The sequence below is a fragment of the Homo sapiens genome, chromosome 3, assembly GCF_000001405.40.
Source record: "Homo sapiens chromosome 3, GRCh38.p14 Primary Assembly".
Classification (NCBI taxonomy): Eukaryota; Metazoa; Chordata; class Mammalia; order Primates; family Hominidae; genus Homo; species Homo sapiens.
Window position 1 is genome coordinate 163,779,086 of NC_000003.12, and position 11,722 is coordinate 163,790,807.

Here is an 11,722-nt window from a genome sequence, read left to right on the forward strand (position 1 = left end):
TCATATTATCCAGCAAATATTGGAGCTGGTGAAGTGATATCTAATGTGTCCTTTTAATAAAATTTATTTTTGAAAAATGAGAGGATAACTAATTTGGCAAAAATGTCCTATAAACAAAAACTTATTTTGAAAATTTTAACATTGCTACATGCTGTTTTTAAACACTAACACTGATAGTATTCATTTATAAAATTCTAAGATTTACAAAATAAGTAAAAATTATGAAAACATAATTGTTTTCCTTATTAAGGAAGCAGACTTGTTTTTGGCAATGAGAGTAGTAATAGACTAGTTTTCAAAAAATGAAACAAAAAAATACTAAAATCTATTGAATAAGAATATGGTTTTCAGACATTGGTCACCAGGGAACAGGAAATGGAAGACAGTGGTTCCTGAAAGAAGAGAATCTCCTGCAGTGAATTCCATGATTGCCTCTTTTCTCTGTAGAGACAATACTGATAGCTGGACAGGAATTCAGAGCCATACAGATCACATCAGTCCCTTTGAAGTAAATGAGTCAGAGACAATAGCTTTGAACTACCGAAATGGCTGGTATCTGAAAGGCAGAAAACCAGAAGGAAATTGAGGAGGTTGGAAGGCAGAAGTGGGTGTGGAGGTTTCCCATGAGACGTTGGCTTATGTGATGCTTAATTTTAGGTGACAACTTGACTGGATTCAGGGATAACTAGTTAGCTAATAAAGTATTATTTCTGGATGTGTCTGTACAAGTGTTTCTGAAGGAGATTGTCACGTGAGTTTGTGAACTGAGTGGGGAAGACGTGCCTTCAGTGTGGCGCATTTTCCGATTGGCTGGTGATAGAGTGACGGATGAATAAAGGTACACTGACACACAGATATTCTGCTCTGCCAGTGCAGCTGAGTGAGCCGCTTACAGGCTCCAAGCTGAGTTCTGTAAACAGTTGCCACTCAACCCTGATCAGCTAGTGAGGCTCGCATTTATTCAGTTAGACTAATTAATGAAAGTCATGAGTAAATACCACTAGAGGGTAAAGATTAAAAGGCCAAGACCTAAAGCAAACACCATTTGCGGGTAATAAACTTCTGCCGACCCCCAGTAGGAGGCAGTAAAGTACCTGCGCGGTAGGACAAAGGTCAGTCTTAAGCCCATGTAAGTAAACAGGTTAGTAAAATAGACTTCCCACATTCCTTTGTACTTGCACCCTAATCTTTCTGGCTCCTGTAAAGAGACCCTGGCTGCCTTCAGCCAAGCAATCTGAAGCTATGCAAACTCTCAGGCCTTCCAAGAGAGTTTTGTGTCTATTTCTGTATTTCCCACCAGCCTGATTGAACCCCAACAATCATTCACACCTTTTGTGTCCTCATAGCTTAGCTCCCACTTAAAACTGAGAATCTATGATGCTTGATTTTCCATTCCTGAGTTACTTCACTTAAAATAATGATCTCCAACTCCATCCAGGCAGCCGCTGTGAATGCAATTATTTCATTCCTTTTTATGACCGAATAGAATTCCATAATGTAGACATATAGATAGAAATATCTATATATATAATATCTATATCTATACAATATCTATATATTATACATAGATATTACATTATCCACTTATTGATTGATGGGCATTTGGGGTGGTTCCATATTTTTGCAATTGCAAATTGTACTTCTATAAACATGCATGTGCAAGTGTCTTTTTCATATGACTTCTTTTCCTCTCAGTAGATACCCAGTAGTGGAATTACTAGATCAAATGATAGTTCTACTTTTTGTTCTTTAAGGAATCTCCATACTGTTTTCCATAGCGGTTGTACTAGTTTTTACATTCCCACCAGAAGTGTAAAGGTGTTCCCTTTTCACCACATCTATACCAACATATATTATTTTTTAGATTTTTAAAAATTATGGTCATTTTTTGCAGGAATAAGGTAGCATCACACTGTGGCTTTAATTTTCATTTCCCTGATAATTAGTGATGTTGAGCATTTTTTTCATGTTTGTTGGCCATTTGTACATCTTCTTTTGAGAATTGCCTATTCGTGCCTTAACTGACTTTTTGATGGTACTATTTGTTTTTTTCTTGATGATTTGTTTGAGTTCCTTGTAGATTCTGGATATGATTCCTTTGTTGGATGCATAGTTTGGAAAGATTTTCTCCAATTCTGCGAATTATCTGTTTGCTGATTATTTATTTTTCTGTGCAGAAGGATTTTAGTTTAATTAAGTCACATAAATTTATCTTTGTTTCTGTTACATTTGCTTTTGGGTTCTTGGCCATTAAGTCTTTGCCAAAGCTAATGTCTAGAAAAGATTTTCTGATGTTAACTTCTATTATAGTTTCAGGTCTTAGATTTAAGTCTTTGATCCATCTTGAGTTGATTTTTTAGAAAGTGAGAGATGAGGATCTGCTTTCATTCTTCTACATGTTTGCCAATTATTCCAGCACCATTTATTGAGTAAGGTATCCTTTCTCCACTTTACATTTTTGTTTGCTTTGTGGAAGATCAATTGGCTCTAAGTATTTGAGTTTATTTCTGGGTTCTCTATTATGTTCCATTTGTCTAGGTGTATATTTTTATTCCAGTATCAGGCTGTTTTGGTGACTGTAGCCTTATGATATAATTTGAAGTGGAGTAATTCAATGCCAGCAGATTTGTTCTTTTTGCTTAGTCTTGCTTTGACTATGTGAGCTTTTTTTTTGGTTCCATATGAATTTTAGGATTGTTTTTTCTAGTTCTGTAAAGAACGATGATATTTTGATGGGAATTGCATTGCATTTGTAGATTTATTTTGGTAATATGGTTATTTTCACAGTATTGATTCTACCCAGTCATGAGCATGGAATGAGTTTCAATTTGTTTGTGTCATCTATGATTTCTTTCAGTAGTGTTTTGCAGTTTCCCTTACAGAACTTTTTCACCTCCTTGGTTAGGTATATTCCTAGGTAATTTTTTTTTTTTTTTGCAGCTATTGTAAAGACAGTTGAGTTCTTGATTTGATTCTCAGCTTGGTCACTGTTGGTATATAGCAGTGCTAATGATTTGTGTACATTGATTTTGTATCCTAAAACTTTTATTGAATTCATTTATCAGAACTAGGAAGTTTTCAATGAGTCTTTAGGGCTTTCTAGGTAGATGGCCATCAGTGAACCATGACAGTTTAAATACCTTTTAAGTGGTTTGGATGTTCTTAATGTATTTATCTTGTCTGATTGCTCTGGCTAGATCTTCCAATACTATGTTGAATAGAAGTGGTAAAATTGAGTATCCTTGTCTTGTTCTAGTTCTCAGGGGAAATGCTTTCATCTTTTCCTCAATCTGTGTAATGTTGGCTGTGGGTTTGTTGTAGATGGCTTTTATTACCTTATGGCATGTCCCTTCTTTGCGAATTTTGCTGAGGGTTTTAATAATAAAGGGATGCTGGATTTTGCCAGAGGCTTTTTCTGCCTCTATTGAGATGATCATGTGATTTTTGTTTTTTGTTCTCTTTGTGTACTGTATCACATTTATTGACCTCTGTATGTTAAACCATTTCTACATCTCTGTTGTGATACTCACTTGATCATGGTGGATTACCTTTTTATATGCCTTTAGATTTGGTTAGCTAGTATTTTGCTGAGGATTTTTGGATCTATTTTCATCAGGGATGTTGATCTGTAGTTTTCGTTTTCTGTTATGTCCTTTCCAGGTTTTGGTATTACAGTGATACTGGCTTCATAGGGTGATTTAGGCAGGATTGTCTCTTTCTTTATCTTTTGGAATAGTCTCAATACAATTTGCACCAATTCTTCTTTTAATGTCTGATATAATTCAACTGTAAAGCCATCTGGTCCTGGACATTTTTTTGATAGCAACATTTTTATTACCATTTCAGTCTTTCTGCTTATTATTGGTCTGTTCAGGGTTTATATTTCTTTTAGGTTTAATTGAGGAGAGTTGTATATTTTCAGAAATGTATCCGTCTCCTCTAGGTTTTCTAGTTTATGCATGTAAAGGTATTTATAGTAGCCTTGAATGCTCTTTTGTATTTCTGTGTTGTTTGTTGTAATAGCTCCTATTTCATTTCTAATTAAGCTTATTTGGATCTTCTCTCTTCTTTTCTTGATTAATCTTGCTTTTTTATCCATTTTATTTTTCTTTCCAAAGAACTAGCTTTTTGTTTTATTTATCTTTTGTATTTTTTGTTGTTGTTTTAATTTCATTTAGTTCTGCTCTGATAGTGGTTATTTTCTTCTGCTGGGTTTGGGTTTGGTTTGTTCTTGTTTGGTTCCTTGTGGCATGACCTTAGATTTTCTGTTTGTGCTCTTTCAGCCTTTTTATTTTATTTATTTATTTATTTATTCTTGGAGACGGAGCCTTGCTCTGTTGCCCAGGCTGGAGTGCAGTGGCGTCATCTTGGCTCACTGCAACCTCTGCCTCTAGGGTTCAAAAGATTCTTATGCTTCAGCCTCCCAAGTAACTGGGATTACAGGTGTGTGCCACCACACCCTGCTAATTTTTGTGTTTTTAGTAGAGATGAGGTTTCATTATGTTGGGCAGGCTGGTCTTGAACTCCTGACCTCAAGTGATCTGCCCACCTCAGTCTCCTAAAGTGCTGGGATTACAGGCGTGAGCCACCACACCTGCTGTTTTTCAGACTTTTAGATGTAGGCATTTAAGGCTATGAACCTTCCTCTTAGCACTGCCTTTGCTGTATTCCAAAAGTTTTGATAGGTTGTGTCACTGTTATCATTTAGATTAAATATTTTTTAAAAAATTTCTCTCTTCATTTCATTGTTTACCCAGTGATCATTCCAAGTATTTACATGATTTTGAGGGTTTCCTTTGGAGTTGATTTCCAATTTTATTACACTGTGGTCTGAGAGAGTACTTGATATAATTTCAATTTTTCTGAAACTTTTTGAGATTTGTTTTGTAGCCTATCATTTGGTCTCTCAAGGAGAATGTTCCATGTGTTGATGAATAGAATGTATATTCTGCAGTTTTGGGGTAGAAAGTTTTGTAAATATCTGTTAAATCCCTTTGTTCTAGGATGTAGTTTAAGTCCATTGTTTCCTTATTTACTTTCTATTTTGATAACCTGTCTAGTGCTGTCACTGGAGTATTAACATCCTCCACTCTTATTGTGTTTCTGTCTATCATTTCTTAGGTTTAGTACTAATTATTTTATAAATTTGGGAGCTCCAGTTTTAGGTGCATATATATTTAGCATTGTGATATTTTCCTGCTGAGCAGGACTTTTATCATTATATAGTGTTCTCTTTGTCTTTTTTAACTGCTGTTGCTTTAAAGTTTGCTTTGTTTGATATAGGAATAGCTAATCCTGCTCACTTTTGGTGTTCATTTGCATGGAATATCTTTTTCACCCCTTTACTTTAAATGTATTTGAGTCCTTATGTGGTAGGTGAGTCTCTTAAAGACAGCAGATACTTGGTTGGTGAACTCTTATCCATTCTGCAGTTCAGTATCTTTTAAGTGGAGCATTTACACCACTTACATTCAGTGTTATTATTGAAATGTGAGGTACTATTCTATTTATTGTGCCAGTTTATACCTAAGTATTCTGTTTTTTCCATTCATTGTGTTATTGTTTTATATTTAAACAATAACTGTGTGATTTATATTTTAAAGGGTTCTATTTTGGTGTATTTTTAAAATGTTTATCAAGATTTAGAACCCCTTTTAGCATTTCTTGCAGTACTGGCTTGGTAGTGGTTAATTCTCTCAGCATTTGTTTGTCTAAAAAGGACTTTATATTTTCTTAATTTACGAAGCTTAATTTTACTGGATACAAAATCCTTGGCAGATATTTGTTTTGTTTAAGAAGGCTAAAGATAGAACTCCAGTCCCTTCCAGTTTGCAGGGCTTCTGCTGAGAAATCTGCTGTTAATCTGATAGGTTTTTTTTTTTTTTTTTTGATAGGTTTCCTCATGCTTTTGCCTCACAGCTCTTAAGATTATTTCCTTCATCTTGACTTTAGATAACTCAAAGGCTATATGCCTAGGTGATAATATTTTTACAATAAGTTTTCTAGATATTCTTTGAGCTTCTTGTATTTGAATGTTTAGATTTCTATAAAGGCCAGAGAAGTTTTCCTCAATTATTCCCTCAAGTAAGTTTTTCAAAATTCTAGATTTCTTTTCTTCCTCGGGAACACGAATTATGCTTAGATTTGGTCATTTCACAGAATCCCAAACTTCTTGGAGGCTTTGTTCATCTTTTTATTCTTTTTTCTTTCTCTTTGTCAGATTGAGTTAATTCAAAAGCCTTGTCTTTGAGCTCTGAAGATATTTCTTCTATTGTTCAATTCTATTGTTGAACAATAGAATTTCCAGTGTATTTTGCATTTCTTGAAGTGTATCTTTTATTTCTAGAAGTTATTATTGTTTTTTATTTATGCTATTTATCTGGATATTTTTCTGTTCATACCTGTATTTTTTTCTTTTTTTAAGTTGATATTCACCTTTCTCTGATGGCTCCTTGATTAGCTGAATAATTGACCTTCTAAACTCTTTTTCTGGCAATTCAGAGATTTCTTTTTGGTTCAGATCCATTGCTGGTGAGCTAAGTGTGATCTTTTGGGGTTGTTAAAGAACCTTGCTTTGTCATATTACCAGAATTATTTTTTCTGATATCTTCTCATTTGGGTAGACTATATCAGAGGAGAAATCTGTGGCTCAAGGGCTGCTATTCAGATTCTTTTGTACCACAGAGTTATCCCTTGATCTGGTGCTCTCCTCCTTCCCTTAGAAATGGCACTTCTTGGGAGCTGGACTGTAGTGATTCTTATTGCACTTCTGAGTCTAGCCACCCAGTGGAGCTGCTGAGCTCTGGGCTGGTACTAGGGAATGTCTGTAAATAGCCCTGTGATGTGGTCCCTCTTCAGGTTTCTCAGCCATGGACATCAGCACCTGCTCCAGTGGAGGTGGCAGGGGAGTGAGGTAGACACTCTGTATGAGTCCTTAGTTGCAGTTTTGTTTAGTGCACTGGTTTTCTTGAATGCTGCTTGTGCTAGCAGTGAAGTTGTCATGTGGACAGATTCAGGACCTCTGGTTAGCCAGGATGTCACAGGCCATGGACTTAGTTGTTGTTTGGAGCAGGATTATTCTTTTATGAGTTGCTGTAATGGCTTGGGCTAATTGGCCTCTAGCCAGGAGGTGGTACATTCAAAGGAGCATCAGCTGTGGTAGTGTGGGGGTATACAAGCTTGTCCTGAGGTCACCTGCATAGGGATTCAGGTTTCTAGGCAATAGGTGGGGTCATAGAGCTCCTAAGAGATTGTGTCTTTTGTGTTTGGCTACCAGGGTGGGGAGAGAGAGAGACCATCAGGTGGGGGCAGGGTTAGGCATGTCTGAGCTCATGCTTTCCTTGGGCAGTGATGGCTGGGGCCACGGTGGAGGATTGGGCATGGTTCTTAGGCAAATGTAGCTATGTTCCCAGGGCAATTATGGCTGCCTCTGCTGCTTCATACAGGTTTCCAGGAAAGTGGGGGAAATCTGGCTGACAGGCCACACCCACTCCCATACAACAAGCAGGGCCAGCCTCACTTCCATCGTGTGCCACCAATAGCACTGAGTTAATATCCAGGCAGCCAGTGAGCAGGGCTAAGATCTTTCTCCAGGCTACAAGCCTCCCTGCTGAGATTGCAAGCAGGGTTTTCAGGTCCCACCTCTTACTGTGTGCCATGGCTTCTGTGCTCATATCTGCATTTCCTGTTCATCCCCCCACCACCCTTCACCAATCCTGCCCAGAAAAACTCACACTATGTCAAAATTATTATGAAGTTCCACTGGAAATCTTCTCTCTGTGGTCTTTCCCCAATTCCACTCGCAGCCCTCCCCAAAGAACCCTGTGAGATAAAGTCAGAAATGGCTTCCCTGCAGACCAGAAGTGACTACAGGGCTCTTCCTGTGGCTTATTCTACTTTTATATTTCATTTGGCTCTCAAAATTTGTCTCAGCCCTAGGGAAGGTTAAATTCTTCTCCCGTGATCTGGATTTTCAGCTTCCCCAGTGATGATGTGTAGTTGGAGGCATACTTTCCCACTCTCACACTTTGGGGCTGTCTCACGAAGTTTGCAGCAGTGAGCCACTTTTTCAGGGCACCTGTGAATTCTTTCAGTTTTCCTAGTTTATTACTGCAGTAGTTCTTAGAGCAAAAGTTCACAATCTGAGTCTCCACATGCTGTTCTGTGTTTCTGAGTGACAGCTGCAAGTTAGTCCTGCCTGCTAGCCACCATTTTTATTGCATTTTGAAGATCACTATACATATAATCCTAATGCCTAGATTCCTTTTGTAATCCAAAATGAATTAGCCTTGATATTTGTATAAATATTAGCAATATGCTTACTATACTCCCTAGATAAGAAATGTATCTGGCAAATTCTGAGCTAACCAATGCTTTTAATCCCTATGGCACATATTATTAAAATTAACTTGTCATGTTTCCAAGCAAGGGAAATTGTAAATATATTTAACTGCTTACATTTGTCATGTGTAGAAAGATGTAACCTGAGAATAATAAAAAAAAAAAGAAAGAAAAAAAGTCTCAGGATGCTTTGGGTGTTACTTTTCCAGCTGGAAACCTCTGTGGCTGGTGGCACTTTTGCCCAGGTTTTTGCTCGAGCCCACTCAGCTCATTCTGCCCATTCGACATGGCAGGCTGTGCTTGGCTCACCCTACCAGCCCATATCCATGCCTTCCAAGGGTGAGCTAGGCATGGAGTGGAGCTAGCGTGGGAACTGGCAAGTGCACATAGCCAGGCACACCAGATGCTGTGGTGTGTGCACCTCCAGGCACTGGCATAGCTGCTGGCTCCACGCAAGGCTGTGGCTGGATCAAATGTACTGCAAGCAGCTTCTGCTGCAGACACCTACATCTGGACTAGGGGAAAGCAGGGACACCCAAAATCTTGGAGATGCTAGGATCGCAGAGCTCCAAAGAGGGTGTCACAGCCCTGGCTTGTGGGTCCCCTAGTCTTGGCTCCCTGAAGGGCTGTAGCCCTTCTCTTCTTCTCATCATCTGCAACTTGGCAGCCCTGTTTGTTTTGCAACTCTTTCAGTCCCACCATTCGGCAGGTCCTGAGTTCTTGTTCCACTTCTAGGAAGAATGAGGTGCACAGACAACTGGAGGGTAAGCAAGGCATAGAGGAGCTTTACTGAGTGATAGAACAGCTCTTGGAAGACACAAAGTGGACAGGTCCTTTCTGCAGGCAGGGCATCCCAATGAGTATCCAGCTCTCAGTGGAGAAGAGATCTGGAGTGGATTGCTCTTATCTGCAGGCAGGTCATCCCAGTGAGTGTCTAGCTGTGAGTGGAAAGGAGACCTGGAGTGGGCAGCTCCTTTCTAAAGGCATGTCATCCCAACAAGTTGAGAAGACCTGAAGTGGGTAGCTCTTTCCTGCAGCTGATGTCCCAAGATCTACATAAGTCTGGCTGGGTCCAGAGTGTTTATGGGCTCAGAAGAGAGGAAGTCCATGGTGATTTGTCCATGGGCATCCATGGGCATTCCCGGAAAAAGCACCTTAAGATCTCACTCTGCGCCAGAAACTCCACCCAGAACTGACAGCCCAGCCCCCAGGCTTTATGCCATCTTTGGCTTGAAAGTGAAGCTTCACCAGGGACCCACTCCTTTCCACCCAGGAGCTTGTCTGCCTCCTGCCACCATCGACATGTCATCCATGATACCCAGGTTGTTTGTGCTGAGGGGCACCTGCAGGCCTGTGCCAAGCTGCCCTCAGCACCCCCTAAGGCTCCCTTCCATGCTTATTGGTGCCCAGATTCCAGGGGTAGCTGAGGTGGCAGGGGCCTGGGATGTCAGTGCCTCCCTGAGCATGTGAACTCCTGGCCAGGTCACAACAGCACCCAGGCTTGGTCACAACTTTGCTCCACCCTGGAGTGGGTGCTGGGAGTGGGGAGAGGCCAGGCAGTGGGAGCAGGCACTTTCAAGCTTGAGGCAATAAGGGGCTTCCTGAGCCCCCGAGAGAACAGGGATGCCTAGGTCTGGAGCCACAGCTGGGAGGCTGCAGCTATGTCTGGGAGTGCAGGGCTCCTGCCCCACCAACTTGATATGGGGAGGGACTGCAACCTTATCCTGGCCCCTGCCAGCTTCACAGAGCACAGGGACTCAACTGCATCTCCTCTGCTGCAGTCAGTGTCTTTGCAGTGGCTGCTCCAAATAGGCCACCACTGCCATCACCATTCACCATTTTTTCCTGCATTTTTAAGATTACTATAAATATGGTCCTAATGCCTAAATTCTTTAAGTAATCCAAAATGAATTTGCCTGTATATTTGTATACATATGGGCAATAAGTGAACCCATGCAGTTCAAATCCATATTGTTCAAGTATAGTAACATACTATACTTTTTATATAAGAAATGTGTCTGGCAAATGCTGGGTTAACCAATGAATCTAATCCCTGTTGTACTTATTATTAAAATTAACTTGTCATGTTTGTAAACAAGGGGAATAATTAATATATTTAGCTGTTCACATTTTTCACCTGTAGAAAGGTGTAATTTGAGAATAATAAAAAAAAAAGAGAAAAAATTAGAGCAAATAACACCCAAGGGAAAAATGAAGAGAACTGTATCCTAAAATGCCAGCTAGGAGAAGAAAGGAGCATCAATTCAGGCAATAGAATTGCCTAAGGTTTATATAAATAAAATTGTCAGAATATCATTTTCACCTACCTTTTATAAAACTTTATACAGTGGAAAATATATTACTATTATTTTTTAGACTAATAAGTTCTTTACTAGGTAAATCATTTGATCCTTGAACAATGCAGGGGTTAAGGGTGCTGACCCCCTGAACTGCTGAAAATCCACAGATAACATTTTACTCCTAAAAACATTAACTACTAATAGCCTACCTCTTACCGGAGACTTCACTGATACATAACAATTGATTAACACAAATTTTGTATACTATATGTAGTGTTTACTATATTCTCATGAAAAAGTAAGCTAGAGAAAAAAATGTTATTAGGAAAATCATAAGAAAAAGAAAATATATTTACCATTTATTAAGTGGAAGTAGATCATTATAAAGTTCTTCATTCTTGTTTTCATGTTGAATAGGCTGAGAAGGAGGAGGAGAAAAAAGGTTTTTTATTGTTATCTCAGAGGTGGTAAGGCAAAAGAAGTAGAAGAGGTGAAATGAGAAGCAGGAGAGGCGGGCACACTTGGTATGGAAATACATCATAATTTAAGTCTGATAGTTTTGCTTCTTTATGTCTCTAAAAATGTTTCTATGTGGTATTAGTTGTTCTTCCACTGTTTGCTTTTGTTTCACTGCCTGTTTTAGTCTGTTTTTGCACTGCTGTAAAGAAATACCTGAGACTGAGTAATTTATAAAGGAAAGAAGTTTAATTGACTCACAGTTCTGCATGGTTGGGAAGGATTCAGGAAACTCACAATCAAGGTGGAAGGGGAAGCAGACAGCTTCCTCACAAGATGGCAGGAGAGCAAGTAAGGAGCAAAGAAAGGACTGCCAAACACTTAGGAAACCATCAGATCTCATGATAACTTACTCAATATCACAAGAACAGCATGGGGGAAACTGCCCCCATCATTCAGCCATCTCCCTCCCTTAACACGTGGGTATTGCAATTAGAGATGAGATTTGGGTGAAGACACAGACCCAAACCATATCAATGTTCTTTTCACAAAAGTGCCCAGATCATAAAAAGAAGTAAAAAGCAGTCTTGAATAATCAGAACCCTTCTTCCAGATAATTTAATATA

The 11,722-nt window shown here is 39.1% G+C and overlaps 1 annotated feature.

The window, feature by feature from the left end:
* Positions 234 to 751: an enhancer, noted in NCBI's record as "NANOG hESC enhancer chr3:163497107-163497624 (GRCh37/hg19 assembly coordinates)". NCBI's record gives its function as "activates a minimal SCP1, AML or CMV promoter by ChIP-STARR-seq in naive H9 embryonic stem cells {active_cell/tissue: H9 hESC(naive)}" and the evidence as "EXISTENCE:reporter gene assay evidence [ECO:0000049][PMID:30033119]".